General features: G+C 56.1%; 2 protein-coding genes and 1 long non-coding RNA gene across 129 annotated transcripts in view, besides 5 other annotated features; 2 read left to right on the forward strand and 1 right to left on the reverse strand.

Annotated features, from left to right (window-relative positions):
* The window catches only part of ALPL (alkaline phosphatase, biomineralization associated), a 69,427-nt gene extending 64,512 nt beyond the window's left edge, over positions 1–4,915 (forward strand). For all 7 annotated transcript variants that reach the window (NM_001369805.2, NM_001369804.2, NM_000478.6 and 4 more), the window contains 4 exons: positions 170–304; positions 2,238–2,429; positions 3,027–3,146; positions 3,888–4,915. In NM_001369805.2, coding sequence (NP_001356734.1) covers positions 170–304; positions 2,238–2,429; positions 3,027–3,146; positions 3,888–4,153 — 713 coding nt within the window. In that variant the 3' untranslated portion in view covers positions 4,154–4,915. The remainder of the gene's footprint in view (positions 1–169; positions 305–2,237; positions 2,430–3,026; positions 3,147–3,887) is intronic.
* Positions 653–1,327: an enhancer, noted in NCBI's record as "H3K27ac-H3K4me1 hESC enhancer chr1:21900641-21901315 (GRCh37/hg19 assembly coordinates)". NCBI's record gives its function as "activates a minimal SCP1, AML or CMV promoter by ChIP-STARR-seq in naive H9 embryonic stem cells {active_cell/tissue: H9 hESC(naive)}" and the evidence as "EXISTENCE:reporter gene assay evidence [ECO:0000049][PMID:30033119]".
* Positions 1,328–2,002: an enhancer, noted in NCBI's record as "H3K27ac-H3K4me1 hESC enhancer chr1:21901316-21901990 (GRCh37/hg19 assembly coordinates)". NCBI's record gives its function as "activates a minimal SCP1, AML or CMV promoter by ChIP-STARR-seq in naive H9 embryonic stem cells {active_cell/tissue: H9 hESC(naive)}" and the evidence as "EXISTENCE:reporter gene assay evidence [ECO:0000049][PMID:30033119]".
* Positions 4,077–4,600: an enhancer, noted in NCBI's record as "H3K4me1 hESC enhancer chr1:21904065-21904588 (GRCh37/hg19 assembly coordinates)". NCBI's record gives its function as "activates a minimal SCP1, AML or CMV promoter by ChIP-STARR-seq in primed H9 embryonic stem cells {active_cell/tissue: H9 hESC(primed)}" and the evidence as "EXISTENCE:reporter gene assay evidence [ECO:0000049][PMID:30033119]".
* Positions 12,953–17,692, forward strand: LINC02596 (long intergenic non-protein coding RNA 2596). The gene is made up of 2 exons (NR_187321.1): positions 12,953–13,594; positions 17,490–17,692. It is a non-coding gene; the product is annotated as a long intergenic non-protein coding RNA 2596 (long non-coding RNA).
* Positions 17,333–17,872: an enhancer, noted in NCBI's record as "H3K4me1 hESC enhancer chr1:21917321-21917860 (GRCh37/hg19 assembly coordinates)". NCBI's record gives its function as "activates a minimal SCP1, AML or CMV promoter by ChIP-STARR-seq in naive H9 embryonic stem cells {active_cell/tissue: H9 hESC(naive)}" and the evidence as "EXISTENCE:reporter gene assay evidence [ECO:0000049][PMID:30033119]".
* Positions 17,873–18,411: an enhancer, noted in NCBI's record as "H3K4me1 hESC enhancer chr1:21917861-21918399 (GRCh37/hg19 assembly coordinates)". NCBI's record gives its function as "activates a minimal SCP1, AML or CMV promoter by ChIP-STARR-seq in naive H9 embryonic stem cells {active_cell/tissue: H9 hESC(naive)}" and the evidence as "EXISTENCE:reporter gene assay evidence [ECO:0000049][PMID:30033119]".
* The window catches only part of RAP1GAP (RAP1 GTPase activating protein), a 73,137-nt gene continuing 68,398 nt past the window's right edge, over positions 22,726–27,464 (reverse strand). For 59 of the 121 annotated variants that reach the window (NR_170914.1, NR_170928.1, NM_001388256.1 and 56 more), the window contains 5 exons: positions 25,999–26,122; positions 24,905–25,007; positions 24,466–24,569; positions 24,191–24,233; positions 22,726–23,769 (listed from right to left, as the gene is read on the reverse strand). Coding sequence is in view for 94 of the 121 variants with exons in the window: in NM_001388256.1 (NP_001375185.1) it covers positions 24,225–24,233; positions 24,466–24,569; positions 24,905–25,007; positions 25,999–26,122 (340 nt within the window). In the remaining 27 variants the exon portion in view is untranslated. Of the gene's footprint in view, positions 23,770–24,190; positions 24,234–24,465; positions 24,601–24,904; positions 25,008–25,998; positions 26,123–27,464 lie in introns of all 121 variants that reach the window. The other 62 variants (NM_001388247.1, NM_001388228.1, NM_001388211.1 and 59 more) reach the window with 5 other exon arrangements.

A 27,464-nucleotide genomic window follows, 5' to 3' on the forward strand; every position in this document is an offset into this window, starting at 1 on the left:
AATTCTGGGCCCACAAAAATCACCCAGATAAGGATCCTCCCAGCCACCATACTCTACCCCAAGCTGGCTGTGGGGAGCCTGCATTCCCTGAGACACCCCAGCTTCCTTGGAGTCCTCCTAGCCGGGTCACAGCCTCTCAGCATCCACATCCTCCTGGCGTCCTCCTCAGGTCTCTTCGAGCCAGGGGACATGCAGTACGAGCTGAACAGGAACAACGTGACGGACCCGTCACTCTCCGAGATGGTGGTGGTGGCCATCCAGATCCTGCGGAAGAACCCCAAAGGCTTCTTCTTGCTGGTGGAAGGTAGGGACCCCGGGTCTGCTGAGAGGGGGCTGCTGGAAACACGGCCCTGGTGTCAGGATGGAGAAGTCCAGCTCTTAAAGGGAACTGACTGGTTTGGGGGTGAAGGGAGAGGTCCCTTTAGGAGAATAGGTTGTGGAAGGAGACGGGTGGCACTGTAGACACTCCCAGCCCAGCAAGCTGCTCTCCTTTGGGCATGGAGATGCAAGTTAGGTTCAGCAATCCAGGAAGGCTTCCTGGGAGAGGAGGCAGATTTCTCCCCTTTGGTAGTCTTTCTTGGGGACCTGGCCCTGAAGGGGCAAGCAGCCCCTCAGCCTCACTGCCCAGAAAAGCAAATCCGCAGGCCCCGGCTTTCCCACGCTGTGTGCTGATGTTCCCAGGCTCTTTCAGCGCCGGCCAGGGGCCTTGCAGACAGACCTGAATTCTTGGCCTGGCGCTGCCATCTGCTGGCGGTGTGACCTCTACCTGTGCACTTCTGTTATGTGAAGCCAAAAATAGCATCTGTCTCCTGGAGAGTGATTCGCCTCCATTGTGTTCAGAGACATAAAGTACTTGGAACGGGGCCCAGTAAAGAATAAACCGTGTTTCTATTATTAGCCTTGTTATGGCTACACAATAGTTAAGGCGGGAACAATAGGAAGTGTGAGGAAGTGATAAAGATTCCAGAAACCTTCCAGTGCTAACAGCCCTTGCCCACCGCAGTTCCTCATGTTGCCCTGCTAACATCGGTATGTATACACACACATGCACACACGTGAACATGTTTGCACATATGCTCCCCACGCATACACACATGCTCAGCGCCTCCGCCTTCCAGAGGTGAGCGTCCGCCAGCCCAGCTTGGCTGCTTTCTTGCCAAACCCCGGGGTTCCCACTCGAGCACAGCGGTCTTGGCCTGGCCCCGAACAGGCCTCTGACGCCAAGGAGCCAGCCAGAAACCAGCGGTGGTGAGCACGGGCTCCCCCGGGAGCGGTTTCCTTTGTGAGCAAGGCCAGGATGGGCCGCCCAGGCTAGCTGCTCCCAGAGCCACAACAAAGGGAGGACACGCCCTGCCAGCCTGCCGGGCCACCGCGAGGCTCAGACTGGTGGGAACAGAGGGCTGCCTGGCGCCCAGGACCCTCCAAGCTGGGAGTGTCCACCAGGCAGCGCCCTCCTGTTAGCAAGGGAAGTGTTCCTTTAAGGTCACAGAGCCCTCGGCTGCTGGGCCAAGCCTCCAGCCAGGCCCCTGCACTCACCCGGAGGTGGGAAGCGGGGGCGGAGGCTGCGAGGGTTCAGGCTTCGGCAGGGCTTTGTGGAACCTGCCACAGGCACTGCCCAGGCACTGGGGACTTTCACTACCTCTGGGAGCTCCGTGCTTTCTTTTTAGAGGGGATGATTTGAGGTAGAGATGAAAAACGGGGTTAGGACGAGTCACACCTGAATTCACATCCTGGCAAATCCCACCGTGGGCTTCCCCACACTAGGCCTCAGTTGCTCCATCTGTAAACAGGACTGATCATATTCCTCTCTGCCCAGCATTGCTGTTCAGGGGAAAAGAGACATGGGTGTGTCGTGCCTGGCACATTGTAGGGATTCCAGCGTGCCCCCTTCCCTACCTCCCAAAGGCTTCAGTGCCTCCTTCAAGCAGCTAGAGACAGTGCTGGGAGGGGCGGTGGGAGGAGTACAGCTTCCCGGCCTGGTGAATTTGATTACACATCTGGACTTTGCAGCCCCCATGCATGTGCCTTTGGCACCGGGGCTGTCCCTCTCTGGCCTCCGTCAGGTTGAATGGCTGCGTAAAATGCCTAGGCTGTGGTGCTAGCTCAGAGTGGTGCCCGGCGAAGGTTCCTGTCCTTCCCTAGCTAACAAAGGTTAATCCAGCAGCAGTGTTGTGGGGCTGGGGAGCAGATCTTCCTCCCCTCCTCCCTCACCGAGGCCTTTGCCTTGGTGTCCCAAGGAGGCAGAATTGACCACGGGCACCATGAAGGAAAAGCCAAGCAGGCCCTGCATGAGGCGGTGGAGATGGACCGGGCCATCGGGCAGGCAGGCAGCTTGACCTCCTCGGAAGACACTCTGACCGTGGTCACTGCGGACCATTCCCACGTCTTCACATTTGGTGGATACACCCCCCGTGGCAACTCTATCTTTGGTAGGTGGGCCTTCTTTGGGGTGGACACTCCTGGGGTCTCCTGTCTACCCACCTGGGAGCAGGAGTGGGTGGGAGAGCCAGCAAGCCCAGAGCATGGTGGGGACTCAATGACAACTGGGTGGGGAGGAAGAGTTACTGGGGATGGGGAGAAAATGCAGGGTGAGGCAGGGGAGTGAGTTGAGTGGTGGTCGGGTAGACAGGCAGGTGGGTGGATGGATGGCCACGTTGACCATGGCTGGGCGAGAACGTGGATAGATGAATGAGAGAGGATGGCTGGCTGGATGATGGATGGATGATGGATGGATGGATGGATGGATGGATGGATGGATGATGGATGGATGGATGGGTGGATGGATGGATGGGTGGATGGATGGATGGATGGGTGGATGGATGAATGGGAGGGACATGGGTACAATGAAAACTGGGGAATGGTTAGTTGGAAATAATAAGGTTTAGAAGGTGGCTTCTTGGAGGCATTGCAGGGCCCTTCAAAGAAGATCCCAGGGGTTACCAAGCCACCAAGGAGCCTAATCTGGGGGCTGGGGACTGTACTCCTGGGGCCCCAGCATGACCCCTGAACACCCCCTCCCTGTGCAGGTCTGGCCCCCATGCTGAGTGACACAGACAAGAAGCCCTTCACTGCCATCCTGTATGGCAATGGGCCTGGCTACAAGGTGGTGGGCGGTGAACGAGAGAATGTCTCCATGGTGGACTATGGTGAGACCTCCAGGACCCAGGGCTGGGAGGGGACAGGGCACCCCTCGGGGATGGGCTTGGGAATAGGGTGTCAGCTTGTGGTCAAGGTCAGGGGTCTCAGAATGACTGGGGCTTGAGTCCCAGTTTGATTGTTGAGTCCCAGGTTGTTTGATTCAAACAACCTCAGTTTGAATCGCCTTCTACAATCTAGCAGCTCTGAGACTTTGGGCATGTGACTTCATCTTTCTCTGCTTCAGTTTCCTCTCTAAAAGGGTTCTACCTTTGACGGTTGTCTGAATGACCAAATGGGTCTGATGAGCTTAGCATAGTGCCTGGCACAAGTAGGTGCTCAATATTTTATACTCATTTTTCTTGGCCCTATAATATTCCAGTATACGAGACTTTGCAGTTAGTTCATCCCATCCCATATCATTCATTCGTTCTTGATACTCCCAGTGGTTCTAGGGGGTCTAAAGATGCAGCAATGGTAAGAGTCTCCCCGTCAACTCTCCCTGCTAATCCAAGCAGCCCAAATGAGGTTAATTTTCTCTGTTGGGGGTTGAGAATGCAGACTCCTGTGTCAGAACAGGCTCAGGTTCAAATCCCGTGGCCTTAGGCAAAATGACTTTCCCACATTGAGCCTCCTTTTCCTCTTCTGTGAAATGGGAGCATTCAAGCCAGCCTGGAAGGGAGATGGAAAAGCTGCGTGCGCAGCGCCAGGCCCCTGGCAGGCTCTCAGCAGGTGTTTCCCCTGGCCCACAGCTCACAACAACTACCAGGCGCAGTCTGCTGTGCCCCTGCGCCACGAGACCCACGGCGGGGAGGACGTGGCCGTCTTCTCCAAGGGCCCCATGGCGCACCTGCTGCACGGCGTCCACGAGCAGAACTACGTCCCCCACGTGATGGCGTATGCAGCCTGCATCGGGGCCAACCTCGGCCACTGTGCTCCTGCCAGCTCGGCAGGCAGCCTTGCTGCAGGCCCCCTGCTGCTCGCGCTGGCCCTCTACCCCCTGAGCGTCCTGTTCTGAGGGCCCAGGGCCCGGGCACCCACAAGCCCGTGACAGATGCCAACTTCCCACACGGCAGCCCCCCCCTCAAGGGGCAGGGAGGTGGGGGCCTCCTCAGCCTCTGCAACTGCAAGAAAGGGGACCCAAGAAACCAAAGTCTGCCGCCCACCTCGCTCCCCTCTGGAATCTTCCCCAAGGGCCAAACCCACTTCTGGCCTCCAGCCTTTGCTCCCTCCCCGCTGCCCTTTGGCCAACAGGGTAGATTTCTCTTGGGCAGGCAGAGAGTACAGACTGCAGACATTCTCAAAGCCTCTTATTTTTCTAGCGAACGTATTTCTCCAGACCCAGAGGCCCTGAAGCCTCCGTGGAACATTCTGGATCTGACCCTCCCAGTCTCATCTCCTGACCCTCCCACTCCCATCTCCTTACCTCTGGAACCCCCCAGGCCCTACAATGCTCATGTCCCTGTCCCCAGGCCCAGCCCTCCTTCAGGGGAGTTGAGGTCTTTCTCCTCAGGACAAGGCCTTGCTCACTCACTCACTCCAAGACCACCAGGGTCCCAGGAAGCCGGTGCCTGGGTGGCCATCCTACCCAGCGTGGCCCAGGCCGGGAAGAGCCACCTGGCAGGGCTCACACTCCTGGGCTCTGAACACACACGCCAGCTCCTCTCTGAAGCGACTCTCCTGTTTGGAACGGCAAAAAAAAATTTTTTTTTCTCTTTTTGGTGGTGGTTAAAAGGGAACACAAAACATTTAAATAAAACTTTCCAAATATTTCCGAGGACAGAGCTGAGTCTTTGTGGTCAGTGAGAAAAAGACTGAAAGAAGCTTATTTCTCTGGGAAGAACTGGCCTCAGGGCCCGGGGTACAGGTGGGTTGGACAGGGTGGAAAGGCCTTCTGCTGTCCTGGGGGCTTCACACTCCCTACCTGTGCCACTTTGGACACATAGGTTTGTGTCTCAGTTTTCTTGTCTGTGAAATGGGAGACAACCCCCTTCTGGGTTATTGTGAGGATTAAAGAGGAGGCTGGGTGCAATGGCTCACACCTGTAATCCCAGCACTTTGGGAGGCTGGGGCAGGTGGATCATTTGAGGTCAGCAGTTCAAGACCATCCTGGCCAACATGGTGAAACCCTGTCTCTACAAAAAATACAGAAATTAGCCAGGCATGGTGGCGCGCACACCTGTAGTCCCAGCTCCTCTGGACACTGAGGCAGGAGAATCGCTTGAACCCAAGAAGCAGAGGTTGTAGTGAGCCGAGACAGCGCCACTGCACTCCAGCCTGGGTGATGGAGTGAGACTCTGTCTCAGAAAAACAAAACAAAACAAAACCAAACAAACAAAAAAAAACAAGATAAAAGAGGAGTGCCTGTATGCCCAGAAACCCACAGCAAGGAGGACTTCAGGGGCCCAGTGGCAGCCCGGCTGCATGATACCCACAAACAGCACTACATACCTTGGCCCATTTCATTCATTCAACAAATACAGACTACGTGCTAGGCATGGTATTAAGTCTTAAGAATTGTTGGCCGGGTGCTGTGGCTCATGCCTGTAATCCCAGAACTTCGGGAAGCTGAGGCGGGTGGATCATCTGAGGTTGGGAGTTCGAGACCAGCCTGGGCAACATGGAGAAACCCCGTCTCTACTAAAAATACAAAATTAGGTGTGCCTGTAATCCCAGCTACTCGGGAGGCTGAGGCAGGAGAATCGATTGAACCTGGGAGGCAGAGGTTGCGGTGAGCCGAGATTGTGCCATTGCACTCCAGCCTGGGCAACAAGAGTGAAATTCCATCTCAGAAAAAAAAAAAAAAAAAAAGAATTTAGTGGTGAACATGACAGACAGAAGGCTGAACAGACAGAGGGCTCCTTGCCCTCACAGAGCGTCAGCCCAGCTTAGCAACTGTGATCTTTCCATTTCTCATATTCACACCTTGGTACTACACTCAGGCCTGCAGCCGACCTTGTTGGGATACAGACTTGTCCAAGTTTGCTCCTCTTGCTTCATTGAAATGAAAATTCCTTTAATAAGGATAACAATCATGACAATTAACACTGATCATTTACAACATGCCAGGTCTGTGCTTGACGCTTTATGTGGATTCATTGCATTTAATCCTCATTAGGAAATAGGCCCCCATCATCCACATGTATAGGTGAGGACCCTGAGGGTTTGGGAAGTGAGGTGATTGCCCAAATGCCCCCAAGCTGTGGAGCTGGTATTTGAAGCCAGGTGTGTCCTATTCCAAAGCTCCTGTACTTAATACCATCCTTTATTTGGTTATAACACACTTCAAACCTCTTGTCAACCAGGTCCTGAAGCAGACAATACTAATGACTCATGACATACACCAGTTAAATATAAACTCAGGAAGATGAGAAACCGTATGTCAGAAGTGGACTTCTTCAGGATTGAAAATGCAAACTAAGCAGATTTGTCTCTGAGCTTCCTAGCAGTCCTGACAAAAAAAAGGGAAGCACAGCCAAGCTGACACTGGGATAAAAGATGAAACTATAGGCCAGGCACAACGGTGCATACCTGTAATCCCAGCACTTCGAAAAGCTGAGGTGGGAGGATTGCTTGAGGGCAGGAGTTCAATACCAACCTGGGCAACATAGCGAGACCCTGTCTCTACAAAAAATAAAAAAATTAGCCAGGTATGGTGATATGTGCCTGTAATCTAGCTACTTGGGAGGCTGAGGCGGGAGGATCACTAGAGCCCAGGAGTTAGAGGCTGCAGTGAGCTATGATCATGCCACTGCACTCCAGGCTGGGTGAAGGAGCAAGACCTTGTCTCTAGTTAAAAAGAAAATAAACAGGGCTGGGCGTGGTGGCTCATGCCTGTAATCCCAGCACTTTGGGAGGCTGAGGCGGGTGGATCACGAGGTCAGGAGATCGAGACCATCCTGGGTAACACTGTGAAACCCCGTCTCTACTAAAAATACAAAAAAAAATTAGCCGGGCTTGGTAGCAGGCGCCTGTAGTCCCAGCTACTCGGGAGGCTGAGGCAGGAGAATGGCGTGAACCTGGGAGGTGGAGCTTGCAGTGAGCCAAGGTCGTGCCACTGCACTCACTCCAGCCTGGGTGACAGAGCGAGACTCCGTCTCAAAAAAAAAAAAAAAAGAAAGAAAAGAAAAGAAACTGCCAGGAGTGGTAGCTCACACCTGTAATCAAACTACTTTGGGAGGCTGAGGCCGGAGGATCCCTTGAGCCCAAGAGTTTGAGACCAGCCTGAGCAACATGGCAAAACCCATCTTTATGAAAAATACAATAATTACGGGGGCATGGTGGCAGGCACCTATAGTCCCAGCTACTTGGAGGGCTGAGGGGGAGGATCACTTGAGCCTGGGAGACAGGGGTCGCAATGAGTCGAGATGGTGCCACTGCACTCCAGCCTGGGCAACAAAGTGAGACCCTGTCTCAAAAAATAATACATAGAAAAAGAAAAGAAACTATATGCATACATTCTGGCCAGGACCAAGAGGAAGCGCCTCATCTTGAACTGTACAATGCAGTGTTTTCCAGGTGTTATTTTCACACCACCTTCACAATTGTTGCCGTATCCATACTATTATTTCCTTTTTTTTTTCTTTTGAGACAGAGTCTCGCTCTTTCGCCCAGGCTGGACTGCAGTGGCGCGATCTCGGCTCACTGCAAGCTCTGCCTCCCGGGTTCATGCCATTCTCCTGCCTCAGCCTCCCAAGTAGCTGGGACCGCAGGCACCACCACCGTGCCCGGCTAATTTTTTGCATTTTTAGTAGAGACGGGGTTTCACCGTGTTAGCCAGGATGGTCTCGATCTCCTGACCTCATGATCCACCCACCTCGGCCTCCCAAAGTGCTGGGATTACAGGCGTGAGCCACCGTGCCCGGCCATATACTATTATTTCCTAAACACTCCTTTAAATTGACATTTAAGCAGTCAGTTTTTAAATGTTCCCAGTACCACCTGAAGTCAATTTACATGTCTCCAGGGTGTGCAAACCACACTTTGTTTTGTTTTGTTTTTATTTCCATAGGTTTTGGGGGAACAGGTGGTGTTTGGTTACATTAGTAAGTTCTTTAGTGGTGAGTTGTGAGATTTTGGTGTATCCATCACCTGAGCAGTATACACTGAATCTAATTTGTAATCTTTTATCTCTCATTCCCTTGCCACCCTTTCCCCCAGAGTCCCCAAAGTCCATTGTATCATTTCTATGCCTTTGCATCCTCATAGCTTAGCTCCCAATTATGAGTGAGAACATACGATGTTTGATTTTCCATTCCTGAGTTACTTCACTTAGAATAGTAGTCTCTAATCCCATTGCTGCAAATGCCATTAATTCATTCCTTCTGAATGAGTAGTATTCCATCATATTCATATATATATATATACACATACACATATACATGTATACACACATACACACAGTATATACACATACACCACAGTTTCTTTATCCACTCATTGATTGATGGAGATTTGGACTGGTTCCATATTTTTGTAATTGCGAATTGTGCCGCCATAAACATGCGTGTGCAAGAATCTTTTCCGTTGAATGACTTCTTTTCCTCTGGGTAGATACCCAGTAGCAGGATTGCTGGATCAAATGGTAGTTCTACTTTTAGTTCTTTAAGGAATCTCCACACTGTTTTCCATAGTGGTTGTACTAGTTTACATTCCCAACAGCAGTGCAGAAGTGTTCCCTGTTCACTGCATCCATGCGACATCTATTATTTTTTTGATTTTTTGATTATGGCCATTCTTGCGGGAGTAAGGTGGTATCGCATTGTGATACCACCTTGATTTGCATTTCCCTGATCATTAGTGATGTTGAGCATTTTTTCATATGTCTGTTGGCCATTTGTGTATCTTCTTTTGAGAATTGTCTGTTCATGTCCTTAGCCCACTTTTTGACGGGATTTTATTTTATTTTTTTTGAGACGGAGTCTTGCTCTGTCACCCAGGCTGGAGTGCAGTGGCGCGATCTCGGCTCACTGCAAGCTCCGCCTCCTGGGTTCACACCATTCTCCTGCCTCAGCCTCCAGAGTAGCTGGGACTACAGGCGCCCGCCACCACGCCCAGCTAATTTTTTGTATTTTTAGTAGAGACGGGATTTCACCGTGTTAGCCAGGATGGTCTCGATCTCCTGACCTTGTGATCTGCCCACCTTGGCCTCCCAAAGTGCTGGGATTATAGGCGTGAGCCACCGCGCCTGGCCGTTTGTTTTTTTATTGCTAATTTGTTTGAGTTCCTTGTAGATTCTGTGTATTTATCCTTTGTTGGATGTATAGATTGTGAAGATTTTCTCCCTGTGGGTTGTCTGACAAACCACACTTTGTTATCTTGCATTGGGTTTCCACGGAGACAGAACCTGAGACAGAACTCAGCACAAGCAGTTTGTTTATTAGAAGAACCCAGAAAGCTGCACAAATTGGGGAATGAGGAAGCAAGACAGGAAAGGGAAGGATGTTGAGAAAGATGTGTTTTTAAACAGGTTGCCACTGAGGCTGGCCAGGGCTCAACCCCACGAAGGACCTCTGGGAGATGGTGTGGGAGCGACACTTCAGAGATATCTCACCCAAGGGGCGAGGGAGCAGGGGTATTTATTCTTCAACTCTCACCTCTCATTGGCCGAGGGCTGCTCCTGGGGAAATTAACACTGGCACTCCTGACCTTCCCCATGAAGTTCTGAGAGAAAGCCTCCAGGCCTGGTGCTGGAACATCAACTGCTCAAAGGACACAAACCAGCAGCTTCTGTTGAACTTTGGGATACACTGCTGGGGTAGAAAGCGCAGGCTGTGAGTCCGAGAGATGGAGGTCCACATCTCTGCTCCATCACTTTCTCAGTTCTACGAACTTGGGCAAGGGATTCAGCTTCTCTGACGCCCTGTGCCTAGCGATGCCCAGCACGTAGTGAGGACTGAGTACCCCATTAGGAGCCAGGAGTTCCTCCTGCCCACACTCCAGGCTGTGGGATGACGTGTCCTTCAAGAAGCAGAGATTGAGGTGCTCAGGCACCCATGGCTTCAGGGTCTCCCCACGCTCAGGCTGGGCCCTGGGTCACTCATCACCTTATATTTTAACTGCTGTGGGCCCTGAGTCCTAATTGGAGCCGGGGTTCAGGCATAGGTCCCAGCTCCATTCACAACTAGGGCCGGTAGCCATGGACCTAGACCCTAAGGATGACAGTCCAGACCCACAGCACAGGGATTTCTTTTGCCCTCAGATGCCTTCTCCCGGAGGAAGAACAAAGATGAGCTGACATGCCCTCTTGTATTCACTGAGATAACCCTGCCTTCTGTTAAAGGTAAATTCAGAAAGCTCAATAACTTGACACCTGAGGATGTATTCTTACCTCCAACATCAGCGCCCCTGCTCAGGTGACTGGGACCCAGGATCTTTCCAGGGGTGGCTCTGCCACCCCCTGTAAGTTCTGGATGTCCTTCCTATCTGGCCAGCACCTTGATGGTGGGAACCACGCCTGCTTTTTAACCACTTAATCCTGGAAGTGACATACATCACTTCCGCCCTTAGTGCATTGGCAAGAACCGGTCCTGTGATCCTTCCTGGATGCGAGGAAAGCTAGGAAATGCCGTCTTCGCTTGGGCTACCGCTGCCACCAACACCAACACAGCAGGTTCTCATCCTGGGGGCAGAATCACCCCCACATCAGTTGAAAACCTCTGCTCTGTAGGAAGGAAGAGGCGTGGGAGACTGGGATGGTCAACTTGGCTCAGGCTGGAGACATCCTCCAACTCACACACTCCCCAGCCATTGCTGAGCACGGGTGCCGTGTTTTAAAACACTGAGGGCCAGGCACAGTAGCTCAGACCTGTAATCCCAGCACTTTGGAAGGCTCAGGTGGGTGGATCGCTTGAGCCTAGGAGTTGGAGACCAGCCTGGCAACATAGTGAGACCTCCTCTCTACCCAAAAATGAACAATTAGCTGGGCATGGTGGCGCAAGCCTGTAGTCCCTGCACTCAGGAGACTGAGGTGGGAGGATCACTTGAACCCAGAAGGAGGAGGGTGCAGTGAGCCGAGATCATGCCACTGTACTCCAGCCTGGGTGACAGTGTAACCCTGTCTCAAAAAAAAAAAAAAAAAAAAATTGGGAAATTCTCTATAAGATCTGGGATTCTGGCTTAAAAAAAAAAAGGGAGGCTGAGCGCAGTGGCTCACGCCTGTAATCCCAGCACTTTGGGAGGCCGAGGCGGGTGGATCACGAGGTCAGGAGATCGAGACCATCCTGGCTAACACGGTGAAACCCTGTCTTTACTAAAAATACAAAAAAAAAAAAAAAAGGGAGATCCAGCTAGCAGTGGACCCCACATTTCTGCAGGGCAACGGTCAGTTGGAGCTGAGCGACAAGCTGTCAGGGAACTACACTATTCTCGATGCCACAGCCCCCAGCGTGTCCTGTATTCTGACAGACACTGGGCCTTCAGATGTATGTCACCTGTCTGGTCATGGTAGAGACAGCCTGTGGCCCCTGCCTTATTGAGTACCACGCCCCGTGCCGCAATCTTGCCCGGCCATGGACAAGTCCAAGGCTGTCCTCAAGTTCATATCTCATGACAGAGACTTACAGAGACCATCCCAGTGTGTGTCGAAGCCAGGAGCTGTGGGGACAGGAAGGGAACATGGTGGGGGCGGGTGCACAGGGAACAGAGGGCAGTGAGTAAGCTGAGGCTTAACAAAGGGAGGAGGAACCAGGGCGTGAGGCTACTGAGGGGAATTCAGAGGGAAACGCTGTGGGGAGAGGTGGGCAGAAGGGCCTCAAATGCCATTTGGAGAAGCTGGGGTTGACCGTGAAGACCCTGGGGAGGCATGGAAGGCTCTGGAGCTAGGGAGTCAGCATTGTTTTTGAAAGATCATCCTGGCTGGGCGTGGTAGCTCACGCCTGTAATCCCAGCACTTTGGGAGGCTGAGGCAGGTGGATCACCTGAGGTCAGGAGTTCAAGACCAGCCTGGCCAACATGGTGAAACACCGTCTCTATTAAAATACAAAAATTAGCCAGGTATGGGAGGCTGAGGCAGGAGAATTTCTTGAACCTGGGAGGTGGAGCTAGCAGTGAGCCGAGATCACGCCACTGCACTCCAGCCTGGGTGACAGAGAGAGACTCTGTCTCAAATAAATAACTATCATCCTGGCCATCAGTTTCAAGGGCGCTTCAAGCAGAGAAACTGGAGGCCAGGAGACCCGCCCAGACACTGCTATAATAGACCAGGCAGGAGAAACTGGAGCTGTGGAAATGGAGAGGGGAGGGACAAGCCCCAAATTTGACCCTGTGAATCCCAGCTCCTGTTTATCAGAAGGAAGCCGGCCCAGTAGGTGAATAAAAGGATTATGAGCAAATCTAACGCTCTGGGGTGGAGAGCAGGAGGCAGTAAGGTGCCTACTGTGTGCCACATACCCTACTGAGTGCTGTGACCTAGCAGTGAAGTTGTCACCTTGGGGGTACATGTTCTATATCTCCCCATCGTCTGAAGTGGGCACCCTCCATTTCACAGATGGGAAAATCGAGGCTCGGCAGGATATAGTGACCTGCTCCTGGGCCCATGGCTTGTAGGTGACAGCCGAAAGTTGAACCCAGGTCTCCCTGGCTCCCAGCTCATGTTCTTCTCCTTGTCTCTGGGGCTCTAATCTCTCCAAGGAAAACAACCCCAGCCCCATGAGCCACAGAACCATGGGCTCCCTGGGCCCCCCAGAAGCCCAAAAGTGACCATGGGGGGTGATGAGACAGCAGCGTTTGTAATTAGCCCCGTGGCTGAACCGAAGACCTCCCACCAGGATCCAGCCAGAGCCCGTCTCTGGGGAAGGCGGGTGGGGATTAAGTTCTCAGAAGAGGATTTGGGCTCCCGAGTGCCTGTGTGGCTTCCTCTGAGCCTCGCAGGGACTCTGCCTTGATCACAGCGCCAGGGCCTTTTCTGGCTTCTCAGCAGTCTGTGTGAACCTTCAGATGGGGTGGGCACACGTGGCACCCCCAGCCAAGCAGGGGACGGGCCGGACTCGGTCCTCCAGTGTCACCTCTCCCTCCTGCCACTGGAACCGAGGCTTAGAATCACTGAGGCGGTGGGAACATAGCTGTGGGCACAAGAGTGGACATTTCTACGGCGTTCCCTGCTGACCAGGCGCTGTTCTCACGTGCCTCACAGCACACATTAACTCATCTTCCCCGCAACCAGCCCTGGAGGGCAGGGACTGTGATTTTCCCCATTTTACAGATGAAGAAACAGAAGCAGAAATGTTTAAACTTATGGGAAGATACACCACTAACAAGGGCTGGAGCCAGGACTCTAGCCATGCAGTGTGGCTGCAGAGTACAGGATTTTAATCACCCGTTGCATCCTCTGGCGTCGGGCAGGGCTGGACTTCAGGCTGGGTTTTCCCCGTTCCCAGCTGCACCCACGTCGTGTCTCCTCCTGGAGTCTAAGTTTCCTGTGCTGTGACTGCAGGCGGAGAGGAGGGCCCAACGTCTAGGGGTGAGTCACCACGTGCCGATTCTCTGCTCCTAGGGTCGGGGCCTGGCTGGTCACTGCCACCCACTGGCTGCAGTCCAGCGCCCTCATCTGCGGACTCCTTGATCTTGAAGCCGCCGCCTCCCATGTGCTGTGGTGTGGGCAGGCAGGGTGCGGGGAGGGCTCGGAGGCCGTGGGTGGGGAGGAGTAACGAGGACGACTCAGGAATCTAACTGCAAGGGTTGAGGTGTGGGGGTGGCGGTGGAGGTGGGGGTTCAGTGGCTGGGAATTCTGTCCTCCTGGACTGTAAACAGGGCACCCATGGCTGTGCCTTTGACCTGTGGGGAGTGCCCAGCAGCTTCCACCCACCCATGCCAGGGGGCAGCTCCAGGGTTTCTGGATCCCCAAGTCAGCCCGGGCTTGACCACGCTGCCTGCAGGTGTGTCATCGGCCTCCAGCCCACTCAGGTCACCTGGTTGGGGAAAAATGGCAGTGAAGGGGCAGAGTGCTGGGTCAGGGTGAGAGAAGGGGCCTGGGGCAGGGTCTGGAGGCCTTGAGGTGTGATCATTGCCCCTCTTGGCCTCCCAGAGCCCTGGGCCAAGGCCTGGCTAGCTGCTGCCTCCTCTCAGGTTGTGACAGGTGCCGTCATGACAACCAGCATCAGGAGAGTTTTGGTGCCAGATGGGCCCTTTGTGCTCTGAGCCCTCCACTGTCGAAGATTCTCCTGGGGCAAAGGCCTCTTTCCACAGGTTCCCAGACAAAGCTCAGCCTGGAATGGCCTCGCTATGGTCCAGGGAGGAAGGCGGCCCAGGAAGGGTCAGCACCAAGTTGCAGCCGCACAGTAAAATGGGCAGAGGAGCCCAGCTTCCATCTCCAGCAAAGGGTTCTCACAGCCTTCTGACCCTGGGTCCGGCCTGTGAGAAGGAGGGACTCACAGGTACCCAGTGCCTGTCTGACTCTGGCACTTCAGCCCCCAGTCCCAACGGTCTCTTCCCACCCTCTTAACAACACCGGTGCCGGCCCCATTTTACAGATAGGAAAACCAAAAGCCAGAGAGTGACTGGGGCACTGCTGTAGCTGGTGGTCAGGGAAGGCCTGTCTGAGGGAGTGACATTTGCAAGGACAATGCCTTGCAAAGACCTGGAGGAACAACGGCTCCAGGCAGGCAATAGATCAAGTGCAACCACCTGGGGCAGAAATGAGGACCAGAAATAAGGTGATGTGGCTGGAACCCAGAGAAACGGGGATCAGTGAGTGGGACAGAGGCTGCATTATGGGATGTGGCATGAAAAGAGCTGGCATCTTCTTCTGGTCGCAGAGAGGAAGCCACTGGAGGGTTAGAAGCAGGGGAGACAGCTGGGCGTGGTGGCTCACGCCTGTAATCCCAGCACTTTGGGAGGCCGAGGCAGGTGAATCATGAGGTCAGGAGTTCGAGACCAGCCTGACCAATATGATGAAACCCCGTCTCTACTAAAAATACAAAAATTAGCCGGGTGTGGTGGTGCGTGCCTGTAATCCCAGCTACTCAGGAGGCTGAGGCAGGAGAATTGCCTGGAGCCGGGAGATGGAGGTTGCAGTGAGCTGAGATCACGCCATTGCACTCCAGCCTGGGCGACAGAGCGAGAGCGAGACTCCGTCTCAAAAAAAAAAAAAAAAAAAAGAAGCAGGGGAGACAAGTGACTGGCTTGTGCTTTGATTACTCGAGTGGCTGGGGAGCAGAGGAGGCTGGGGAGCTCCAGGAGCTGAGCCCAGAGCTCAGTCTGGAGCTTTCCCTGTCTGGGTTGGAGGTGGTGGTGGCTTGGACCAGGCTAAGTGTGGTGGTGGCGGGAAGGAGTTGGATCCCAGACATGCTGGGAGGGAGGGCCAGCAGAGCTCCCTGGTGGACTGCACGTCGGGAGGGGAGGGAACAGGGGAATCGGGGCTGGGCACCTGGGTTGATGGAGGTGCTGTTTACGGGTATGGGGAACCAGAAGTGGGGAGAAAACAGACAGTTGGGTTTGGATCACATTGGGCTGGAGGTGCCCACTGGACCTTGGAGTGGAGACGCTGGCTGGGTAGGTAGGAGGAAAAGAGTCTGGAGTTCGAGGGAGGAAATAGAAAGATGAGGGTCAGGATGGTATTTATAGTTATGGGCTGGAGAGAGCAAGTGACTTGCCCAGGGTTACAGACAGCCAGTGGTCAGGATTTGAACTGGGGTCTGCTAGGCTCTGAAACCCACAGGGGCTCTTTCCCGGACAGCTGGGAACAGAGAGGGCTTCATCCAAGGTACAGGGGGTGCCGCAGGACTCAGGGGTGGGGCAAGGAGAAGCCCCTGAGGAAAAAACAAAACCAAAGAAAGAAGTAAAGTGAATGTAATCCTAATCAAAATCCTATTGGTCAGGCCAGATGTGGTGGTTCATGCCTGTAATCCCAGCACCTTGGGAGGCTAAGGCAGGAGGATCACTTGAGCCCAGAAGTTCGAGACCAGCCTCAGCAACAAAATGAGGCCCCAATTCTAGTCCCGGGTGTGGTGGTGAGATGGGAAGATAGCTTGAGCCCAGGAATTGAAGGCTACAGTGAGCTATGATCGTGCCACTGTGCTCCGGTCTTGGCGCCAGAGTGGGACACTATCTCAAAAACAAATAATAAATAGAAAGACAAGTCCCTGAGAATGAATGTGGGAATGACTGAGATCCTTCCAGCCTGGGCTGCCCACCTCCCATCCACAGCCTGGTCAGCTGGAAGAGCCCATGTCAAGCACGAGGTTGTGTCCCCTGCCCATTGTACAGATGGGGAAACTGAGGTCTGAAGGAAGGCAGGGCTGGGGTCTAGGTCTTCTGTCTGCCAACCCCGACTCTTCTGCCAGCCTCTAAGGTGGACTCCTGTCTGAGCCAACTCAATGGCTGGGTTGAAACCTTCCAACTGGGACATTCCTGAAGGGGGTGAGTGTCTCTCTGGAGGTCCTCCTGTAGATGGACCTGGGGCCTGGAGTCTTCCCCTCCTGGGTCTCCCCAAGGCAGTGTTTGCCCATGCTGGCCTCTGCCCCTGGCCTGGCCCCGCCGTGGCCTTCAGGACCCCTCTAGGTCCCTGGCAGGGCAGCCCCATGCCTGGCTCTGGTCACGGTTCCTGCCCTGTGGCCAGGACCAAGGCCCCCCCCTGGCCCTTGCCCAGACCACCCAGCGCCAGGGCCTGGCGGAGCCCGGGTGGCTGGCGGGCAGTGCTCCCAGGCTGGCCAGCCGTGGTCTGGCCCCGCCTGAGGGGCTGTGGCCTGGGAACCGTCAGCTGTCTCCTCGGGGAAGCGGCTGGGATCTCCAGAACAAACAGGGAAACCACAGGCTCCCCCACCACGCCCCCAAGGAGGGGCACGGCCTCTGGCCTTGCCCGCCAACACCCCACTCTCCAGGCCTGGCTCCCCACTTCTGGGTGAATAGAAAGGAGGCCTGGTGGCAAGCAGGTCCCAGAAGTGCCTGATCCTCAGGTGGTGAAATGACAAGGAGTTCCCCAGACGGAAGCGCCCAGCACAGGGCACTGCACACGGGAGGCCCCTGAGAAACAGCAGCCCTGGACTCATCCACCGCTGGCTCAGTGGGAGCCACAGCAATCCTGGGGGATTCCTGTACTTGGCAGGGCAGGCTGGGACAGCCGCCCTAATTCAGACCGGCTGGGGGATGGGGTGCATGTGACTCCACTAAAAGCTGCAATTAGAGCCCAATTTAAAGAAACGCTGTGTTAGTTCCTCCCCGGGTAGATGTGATTATAGGCTCGGAGCTAAACCGTTTCTAACAGGATGACACATGGAGAGGCCCCTTCTGGGCTCTGGCAGGATGCCCAGCCCAGCCCCCGGCTGCACGACTGGGGAAACCAAGGCCCGGAATTCACACTGCAGGTGAAGAGGGGGCGAGGCTTCGGCTCCATCCCCACCTCTCACTTTTCTCTACAGGATTTCATGCTGCATCTAGAAGCCAAAACGCTGACACCCCTTGAAAAGGAGGGCTGGGAACTGAGATGATTGACGCCCCAAGGGGAAGCGGGCGCTTCCCAGAACAGCCTCGGCATGACCTGGACATGGAGCCAGGCGGCTGCTCCTTGCCCAACCCATGGGGGCCTTGCAATGATTAATAATAATAATGATGATGATAATGGTGCCAGCAGCAGCCGTGGCTCCCTTTGGAAGTGCTCCCGGGGGGCAGGCAACATCTCACGCATTCTCGCAATAATCCTGCCAGGGAGCTGCTAGTGTAGCCCCATTGCAGGGCTGGGGAAACCAAGGCTCCGAAGGGTCAATGACTTGCCCAGTGTCATGCCAGGAGCCAGTGGTATGTTCCTGCTGGGATTGGACAAGCGCCTGAGATCCTGAGCAGGGGGCAGAGTTCAGGGGGCGGTCGGGGGGTCATCTCAGTGAATGGCAACAATGAGTGAGTAAGCGAGCCTGTTAGCAAGTGAATGAATGAGTGAACGAATAAAAAGGCTGTTTAAGGAATTCTGCCCCTGGGGAGGCATGAAAGGGCCACAGGTCTCTCCCTAGTTGCCTCCCCCCGCCACCTCCAGGGAGACCCCTGAGATTAATGGGCCACAGACAAAGGCCCAAGTCTCACCTGCCCAGAAACAAGGACCCCTCACTTCCCGGGTTCCAGGGGTCCCCTGTCTCGTCCAACACCCCGCTAGGGCACAGGGCACTGCACACGGGAGGCCCCTGAGAAACAGCAGCGTCACTGAGCAGTGCCCTCTGGCCTGCGCCCCCCCACCTTCATCCCAGCCATCCCCAAATGCCACAAGGGTAGATCACCTGCCCTAGTCCCCACCACCACCTGCACCCTTGCCCAGGGCTGAATTCCCACATAGGATTGGGGTCTGGGGAGGGGCCAAAATAAGGGAAAAGCTGATCTCTCTTTACCCACTCTGCCCCCTCCCGTCCCCTTTGCAGCTCATATTGGGGAGTCCCTGGGTTGGGGGTGGCACACACTTGGTTCCTAGGAGCTTGGGCAGTAGGGTACTACTGCCCCTCCATTCCCCGGATGCGCATCCCCCTCCATTCCCCGGATTCTTCATTCATTCAGCAAATATTTATGGAGCCCCTACTGTGTGCAAGGTGCTGGGCTCAGCCATTCATGCACACACAGACCCTTCCTTCTGATGTCTCTGGTTCCATTAAGAAGACTGTGTGTCACGTGCCTCCCCACCACGTTCCCAAGGACTGTCCCCACACCAACTCCTGGTGGTCTGTAGCTGTGCCTCCCTCATCAGACTGGGATTTCTCCAGGGCATGGTTGTGACACTGCCATCAGACTGGCCTGTGCAACCTGCCTTTCCTGAGAAACCTCTCCCTTCACTCCAAGAGCCTCCCTGGAGACGGTTGCCAGATAAAATACAGGACGCTCAGTTAAATTTGAATCTCAGACAAACAAAGAATAATTTTTTAGTATAAGTATGTCCCAAATATCGCACAAGGTATACTTAAACTAAAAATTCTTCCTTGTTTATCTGAAATTCAAATTTAACTGGGCACCGTGGGTTTCTATTTGCTAAATCTGGCAACCCTAGACCTGGAGCTCTTTCCTCCTGCTGGAAGTGGGCCTGGCCAGATGGCCCAGGTCGTGTCTGGACTTGGCTCCTGCCTGCCCAGTTATAGCTCCTGTTGGTCCCCAGGACTAGTTCCCTCCCTCGCTGGGCCGCACCTGAAACCCCAGCTCCTAGGTGGGCACAGCCGCCCACCACCCAGTGCACAGAGCCCAGCGTATGGACCCTTAGGAACACTGCATCCCGCCTCCTGTGTGATGGGTCCAGGGAGAGAGGGGGAGAGAGCCACAGCTGCAGAGAGGGACCACGAGACTCAGAGACAGAGAGAGGCAGAGACACAGAGATAAAGGGACACCACAGAGACTGAGCACTGGAGACAGAGGGGGAGACAGCTGAGAGGGAGACAGAGAGCTTCCGGATCCCTGCCCAGAGCTGCTTCAGGAGACCAGTGAAGCGGGTGGAGGGTCCTGAAAGCCCACTAGGATTTGCCTGAGTGGATTGGGGTGGAGGAGAGGTGGGGTCCCTGAGCCCCAACGTTGGGCCCCAGACTGGCCGGCCCTGGGAGGCAGGGGTGGGAGTCCATTCAGAGGCCGGCCTCAGCCCCAGGGCTCTCCCCTCGCCCTGCCTCCCAGGGGCAAACACAGGGACATTCATGGCTTCCCAGAACGGCCTATGGGGCAGCCAGAGTGGCTTTTAAAATTAGCCTCGCTAACCAGATCTGGTTATTTCAGGAGGCTCCATCCCCTTGGCAAGGCGGGAGCAGGGAAGAAGGGAGGGACCTCCACATTCCAGGGTCCCTGGCTGAGCACCCCCTGTGGCCTGAGCAGCAGAGAACGTCCAGCTCCCAGTCCCCTGGCACGGCCGGCCCGGGCCTGCGGTCATCTCCTTGGCAAAGTTGCCCCAGGGTTGGCCATGGAGGTCCAAGAACACCCCAGCTGGGGGTGGGTAGGGGAGGACCCCCTTGTATTGGGCACGGGTTCTGTGCCAGCAGCCATCCCAGGTACCTTAGAGGCCAAGACAGCCTCTTCAGAGCAATAGGTAGGGGCCTTGTCCTCATTCTCCAGGTAAGGAAACAGACTCCTGGAGACAGGAGGCCCCTGCTGTGAGGTAGGGGAGATGGGGGAGGGCACGTCTTCCAGGCACCCAGGTCCCTCCACGGGAGGCCTCTTCCCTCCTGTGTCTGGAGGAACCCCCCGGCTGCTGTTTCCACTACCAGAGTAATTTCTAAGCAGAGTCCAGCGCTTCCCGGAGCCTGGTACCCCCCGCCCAAGTTCTAATTCCAGCCTCGAGTCAGAGTGTCCCGGCTCGCCCTCCCACCTCACAGCCCAGGGTGAGCACAGAGCTGGCGCGGGCACAAGAGAAATAGCACCGGACACTTTGATCCCAGAGGCCCGATCCGTTGCCAGCCTCCCCTGACCCCACCTCGGAGCTTGGAGGGATGCGGTAGGGTGAAACCCAGCCCCAAGGCCTTCCTTCCCGCAGACGGCCTGGCACCAGCTGGACAGGGATGGGGCAAAGGCAGGTTCTGCCCACCAAGCTGCCCACCTGCTCTGCCACAGCAGCCCCTGCTGCTCTGTCTCAGCTGTGGGATAGAGTGGAGTGGGGGTGCATTGCTAAGTACAGGGAGACAAGCCGGAGACCTCCCCCAGCTCTGTTATGGCAGCATCGTCACCCCAGGTAAACCTGGCAAGCTGAGGCCCAGGGAAGCACCTGACGCCGTCCATTCCCAAAGCCTCACATCTAGGCACCTGTGCTGGGCCCAGTGGCAGGTGGGCGTCCTCCACGCACTGAGCGGACCCCACGTGTTCTGAATTACGGACGTCATTGATCCCTTCCTGCGGTATGCACACTCTCTTCTTTGAGCCCACCACGTGCTGGGGCTGCACCCAGAACTTTATGAGGTGTCACCTCATTTAATCCTCATGCCAGGGTGCCAGCGAGGGCAGGGCTGTTAGCACCCCCACTGCACAGATGAGGAAACTGAGGCCCAGGGAGCCAAAATCGTGTCTGCATGGTCATAGCGCGAGGAGGCGAAGCAGCTCAGAGCTGATTCTGAAGAAGCTCTTAACCGTGGTGCTGAACTGTGATGCCGGCCCTGTGGAGGTGGGGCAGGAGGAGAGAGGGCAGAGGACTGCGGCGGAGGGATAGGGAGCAGGGGTGCGGCTGATGGGTGGGCAGTTCACAGGGGACTCACTGGGCCCAGAGCAGCCTAGAGCCAAACCGAGTTGGGTGGGGCTGGGGTTTGGGTGTGAGTCACCACCCATGGGTGGCCTGAGGCATCAGAGGGTCACAGAAGGGCCCTGTCGGGAAAAGTGTGGCACTCCCTGGACAAACCCCTGGGGTTCCTTCAGCATCATCCTGGGAAGGGGGCAGGGCCAGCAGGGGATAGGGGGCACTGCCAAGCTGTCAGGGAGGCCAAGGCACGGCTCATCCCTTCGGGGCCCAATTTGGTGCCTACTCCCAAATGTCCCCAAAGCCACCCCGCAGACCTGCTCTCCTCCGTGGTCCTGCCCCAGAGGGAGAGTCCCCTCATTCACCCAACACCCAGCCTGTACCCCCGGGAGCCACCCGATTCCCCCCTTAGCCCCACAGCCCATCAGGCGCTTGGTCCCCCTGCTCAGGCCCACCTGGTGTCCTTCTCAGCGTCCTCCTGGCCACCCTCTTACCCCAGCAACAACCTCGTTGGTCCCCTCCTCCCTCCACTGGTGCAGCCTCCACCAGCAACTACCGCTCCTGCCTGGGGCTCCCCCTGCCCTTGGCGCAGAGCCCTGGCCTCTCCGTCGGGAGTTCAAGGCCACATTGCCTCTGGCCTCATCCCTGCCCATCTCCCTGTCCCCTCCATTGTCACCTTCCCACCATTCAGAGCTGGCTGCCACCTTCCTGGTTCCAGGGGTGCTCTGCCTCCCCGCCCTTTACTCGAGGCCCCCTCCTGCAGCGTCCCTCCTCCCTAGGCCTTCTCAGGAACGGGGAGCAACTCCAGGAACTTTCCCTGACGCCTCTCTCCCCAGGCCCTGCTTGTGCACACCTCTCCTGTCCCCGGCTGCCCCTCATCACCCTTCGTCCTACTGTCCCAGCTGTGAGATCCTGGTAGAGGGACTTGGACTCATCCCCGTCTCCTGGGTCCCCATCGGGTCCCGTAAGTGGTCCCTTGGCGCCGCCTTGTGGCCATATCAGGGGATTCACTGAATATGAGAACAGGGAGAAGGAAGTAATTAATTGAGCACCTAATGTGTGCCAGACACTGTGCTGTATGTTTGATACGCACCAGCTCATTGAATCCTCACAACAAACCCTTGGGAGAAACACTACCACTCCTATTTTACAAAAGGAAACACTGAGGCTCACGGAAGCTAGTAAGTTTCTCAACGCCACCCACCCAGCTAACAAGAGACGGTCCCAGGACTCAAACCTAGGTCTGCCTGACAGCACAGCCATGTTCTTCCTGCAGTGGGGAAGGGGCCCAGGATGCAGGGAAGGACAGCACCCCGGGGAGGAAACCACGGGCGGTGCTCACAGAGCTGGTGGCTTGGCTTTGGAGGTGTCCCCAGGCCCAGCAGCTCTGATGGGGACAGGCTTGCTCCCTGCCACCTTGACATCCCTGGACATCTGTCTGGGGTCAATCTGGCCACGGTTCACACAAAGCCAGGCCCAACTCTGGGTACAATAGCGATAAATAGAATTTATTTTATACAACTGTTACCGACATCCACACGGCCACAGGGGCTTCCAAAATGGGTATTGGGGCCAGGAGGCTGGCCTTTGGCGTGACGCCTAAAAAGTGTGACCAGACACACAAGGGCTCCCAGCAGCTGTGCCGGGCTGCCCCCTCCATGGCGGTCGGGGGAGGCAAGGCCTGGACTCTCGGCCAGCTGAGACTCTTGGCCTGGAGGGCCCAGCATGGGATGGCAGGGGTTAAGCTGGGTGCTGGCTGAGGAGCCAGGTAGGTCCCCATCCCCCATGAGGGGGTTACTTGTCTGTCATGTGTAGGCAGTGGACAGGGCATCGGCAGACCTGTGGCAGAACTGGAGGGTCCAGGAGGCATACTGGGCACAGCCGGCTCCCTGCCCCTCAGCCCACCTGGGGCTCCAGGGACCTCAAGAAGCAGGGTAGGGTGATAGGAGGTCCCTGGGAAGAAAATCCTACCTTCTAAGGCAGGTGCATGTAATCACAGTCTTCAGTGACCTCTGAAATAATCTTGTCCATTTGTAGCAGACATGCCCAGAGAGGGAGAGTGACTTGCCCAGAGTCACACAGCAGAACCCAAATTGGAAACCAGGACCCGGCTCCCAACCCAGTGCTCACTCCCCCACATATCACATCCTCCTTGTGCTGCCTCCAGGGGCTAAGCTCTCCACACGGAGCTGTCTCAAACTCTCTCTCCCACCTTGTTCCCTCTGAGTCCAGAGGGATGCTCAGGGGTGATGGAGGCCCAGGGAGGGGGCAAGCCAGACCCCCAGTCCTGCTTCCACTGAGCAATCCCTGCCCCAGCCCAGACCCCCAGGCTGGGGGTGGGGACGATGCCAGCAGCTTCCCTGATCCCAGGTCTGGACGGCTCTGCCCTGCAGAGACAGCCCAGATGGGTGGGCCATGGGGAGGGTGGGGAGGCAGGGGGCAGCCCACGGGCTGGTGTTGGTCTTCAGGGCAGAGGTCTCGTCTGCCTGGGCTTGACACGGCACCTTCCCCTTGTGCTTCTGTGGCCTCATCTGCAGGGCAAAGGGGGATGGAGACACCATGAAACATGGCATGGTGGGTGGCTGGCACCAGTGTGCCCCAACTCTGCCAAGTCCCTGCCTCAGAGAACCCCACCCTGGGAGGGGCCCACCCTTGGAATTCCAGGCTCCAGGTCTTTCCATCCCATTGGGAACCCCTGAAACTTCTCCCCACCTGGCAACTGCCAAGTCCCTTTCACACTCCCATCAAATCCTCCAACAATGCAAGGGCAGAGGTCACGGGGAAGGGCCGTGGCCTGCCCAAGTCACCCAGCAACTGAGGACCAGGGGGCTCAAACCCAGATACATAGCTCCCACCCCAGAGAGGTGACAGAAGAACAGGGAGGAATCAGCTCAGCCCTCTACACACCCCCACCCTCTCCCACCAAACACAAGCTGAGGGGCTGGGTCTAACCTGCTCAGTTTCACCTTCAGAGGGGGTGGCCCGGCTAACAGCCCTGCAGACAGACAGTGGTGGTGAGGCAGGTGGCAAGACGGGAGAAGCAACGGGGCGGGAGACACAGGTGCACAAAGTCACTGGCTGTGTCCAGGCCGGGCAAGCCCCACCCCTCCTGGCCTAGCGGGGCCTAGGGGGACCTCTTGGTCGAGCCTCAGCTCCCAGCCTCCCCGCCAGCTCATCCCCTCCCGGGTGGGGCTCCCTCAGCACCAGCCCCAGGAGGCTGCACGTACCAGCTGGGGCATGTGCTGCTCAGATGCTTCCAGCTGGATCTTGATCTCGGGACACGCAGGGTCCCCCAACTTGCCGGCGTCTGGGTGGGGTGATCGAGAGGGGCCTGGGGAGGGGGGCAGGAGGGAGCCACCTCACTGGCCGCGGGGAGGCACCAGGGAGACGGGGGCATAGGTGGGCGGTCGGCACCAGTGCGCTCCAACCCCACCCTTAACTTTCTTCCTTGCCATCCCCCATTATCCTCCGAGACCCTTCCGGAAGAAACCAGCCCTCCAATCCACCCAGCCACCCTAGGCTGGACAATGACCTGCCCGCTGTCCTCCAAGTCAGGGGCAGTCACATCACATCCACTGCATGGGGCATGGGAACTGGTGCCCAGCCCTGTCCCCCTCCTACCCCAAGGTAGCCCTGCTTTGTGGGGAAGCTGCCTTGTCCTGGTACCTGGGGAGCTGCCCCCACTAGTGGTGCTGACACTGTCCTCCAGCCACGTGCTATAGATGAAGGAGTCCCGCTTGTGGGGTGTTCCTGAGGATGACACGCTCTCCTGGGGAGGGGGTGGAAAGAGGGAGGGAGGTTAGCCTATGCCCTTGGCACTGGCTAGGGCTCCCTCCCAGCCCCTCTCCCTCACTGCATTCCACAACCCCCCACCCGTACCCTCTGCGAGGAGGACGGGCCTAGCCATGTCTGCCCCAGGGAGACCACAGGAGGGCAGAGTCAGGGCAGGCACAGACCCAGGCACACGCCACCCACTGCCACTCACTCACTCAACAAACATTCACTGATGTTCTCCAGGGCTTGCCACTGACATAAATCAGGCATGGGCCCTGCCCTCAGGAGCCTGATATCTGGGAGGCAAGGCAGGCTGTGAAGAGACCATTGCAATTCTAGACTCTGTGCCCCAGCAGGCAGGGCCTGGGTCTGCACTGTTCCCAGCTGTATCTGTTGTATCTGGGGCAGCGCTTGGCAAGGAACAGGGGCCCACTGATGGTTTGCAGAATGAAGAATGATAAAGGGTGTTCCGGGCAAAGCCCGAGGACTGTGAGAACGTAAAGGGGCTTCCTAACCTACCCCGAGATTAGGAAATCAGGGAAGGCTTTCAGGAGGAGGTGTGTGAGACTCAGTCAAAAAGGATGAGTCAGAGCCAGCCTGGCAAAGAAAGGAGGAGGCGGCAGGAAGAGTGTTCCAGACAGAAGAGATGGCACATGCGCAAAGGGCCAGGGGTGCAGTGAGCCTGGGAGGCTTGGGGGACTGCAACGGAGTACAGAATGTCTGAAGTGGTAAGAGAGGAGACTAGAGAGGAAGGGAGTGACCAGATCTCCAAGAGCTCCAGAGACTGAGCTTCCTGTGGACAGTGCTGGGGAGCCGTGGAAGGCTTCTGAGCAGGGGAGGGTTCGTCTGCACTGCTCCTTTGGGCCGGGTCCCCTGATCACATCTCAGCCACGCCCAGGCTCGTGGTTCTACTCAGGGCATCTCCAGGGACCAAAGAGCCCCCTTCCAAGCTCCTGTGGGGCCCCTGACCCCCCTGAGCCTCTCACCAGGCCTGTGTCCTCTCCGTCCACACCCTCCGTCTCCTCCACCACGCTGGCGAAGCTGCTGGCACTGGACGAGGAGCGGGAGAAGTCCTTGAGCGCCTCTGCTCTCTGCGCTGCGGTCTCCGCTCTGCCACAGACAGTGCCCCATTAGCCGGTGTCCACCCCGAGCCCCTCCTGGGCCAGGCCCTCACTCCCTTGCCCTCCCCAACCCGGGAGGCCCAGCTGGTAGCAGCCAAGCACCTTTGAGGACCCCTTACAGATCCTTGGGCCTCTGAGCCCCCCAGACTCCCCCTGCAGCCTCCTCCTACCCGCATTGTCCTTCCTAATCCATAAATCTGACCACGTCCCTCCCCTGCTCAAAACCCTCTCCTGGCCTCCCATTTCCCCAGGTAAAGCACAATATCCTTGGCGTGGTGTTCAAAAACAGCAGCGGTTAGCGACACTAACATCATCGGGTGCACGTTCACTCTGCACCGGGCACTGCTCTACGTGCCTTTACCTGAATTATCTTATCGCTATGATTATTATACCCATCTTCCAGATGAGATGACACCAGGCACAGAGGGGACAGGCACACAGCCCAGGGTCACTCAGCACAGGTGGGAGGGCAGGGGTTGAGGTCCAGGCAACTCCACAGTCTACTCTCTTAATCCCACAAGGTTTTCATGCTCAGGGCCTCTATGCCTCCTGCCTGGAGTCTCAGTCCTCTCAAATCCCGAAAAGCAAATGTGCCTTTAAAAAATCAGCCTAGGGCTCTCGCTCCAGGAGTCCTTCCCTGATTCCTCCTCCCAAGGTGAGAATGACCCTCCCCACTCTGGCTCCTGCATACTGCGTCTCCCTGGTCCCTGCCACCCTTTCCTGCCTCTCTGTTCACCTACCCGGCTCTTTAGCCTGGGCTGAGTCCTCTTGATTCCCACAGAGCCCAACACAGAGGCAGCTCAGCCAACGGACACCAAATGCAGGGACAGTTTCCTCACTGGCCTCTCTGCTTCCATCCCACCCCACTCCAGCCTCTTTGTACAGCAACCGAAGTCAGCTTCTTAAAGCATCGCCCTCGTAATTAAAATCCTCCCAAGGTTCCCTGTCACACTTAGGATAAAAGTCAAAGCTCTTAGGCTGGGCGCAGTGGCTCACGCCTGTAATCCCAGCACTTTGGGAGGCTGAGGCGGGCGGATCACGAGATCGGGAGATCAAGACCATCCTGGCTAACACGGTGAAACCCCGTATCTACTAAAAATACAAAAATTAGATGGGCATGGTGGCGGGCACCTGTAGTCCCAGCTACTTGGGGGGCTGAGGCAGGAGAATGGCGTGAACCCGGGAGGTGGAGCTTGCAGTGAGCCGAGATTGTGCCACTGCACTCCAGCCTGGGAGACAGAGCAAGACTCTGTCTCAAAAAAAAAAAAAAAGTCAAAGCTCTTGTACAGCCTGCTAAGCTATAAGCCAGTGTCTGCCCACCTCTCCAACCT

Source organism: Homo sapiens, chromosome 1 (assembly GCF_000001405.40).
Source record: "Homo sapiens chromosome 1, GRCh38.p14 Primary Assembly".
Lineage (NCBI taxonomy): Eukaryota > Metazoa > Chordata > Mammalia > Primates > Hominidae > Homo > Homo sapiens.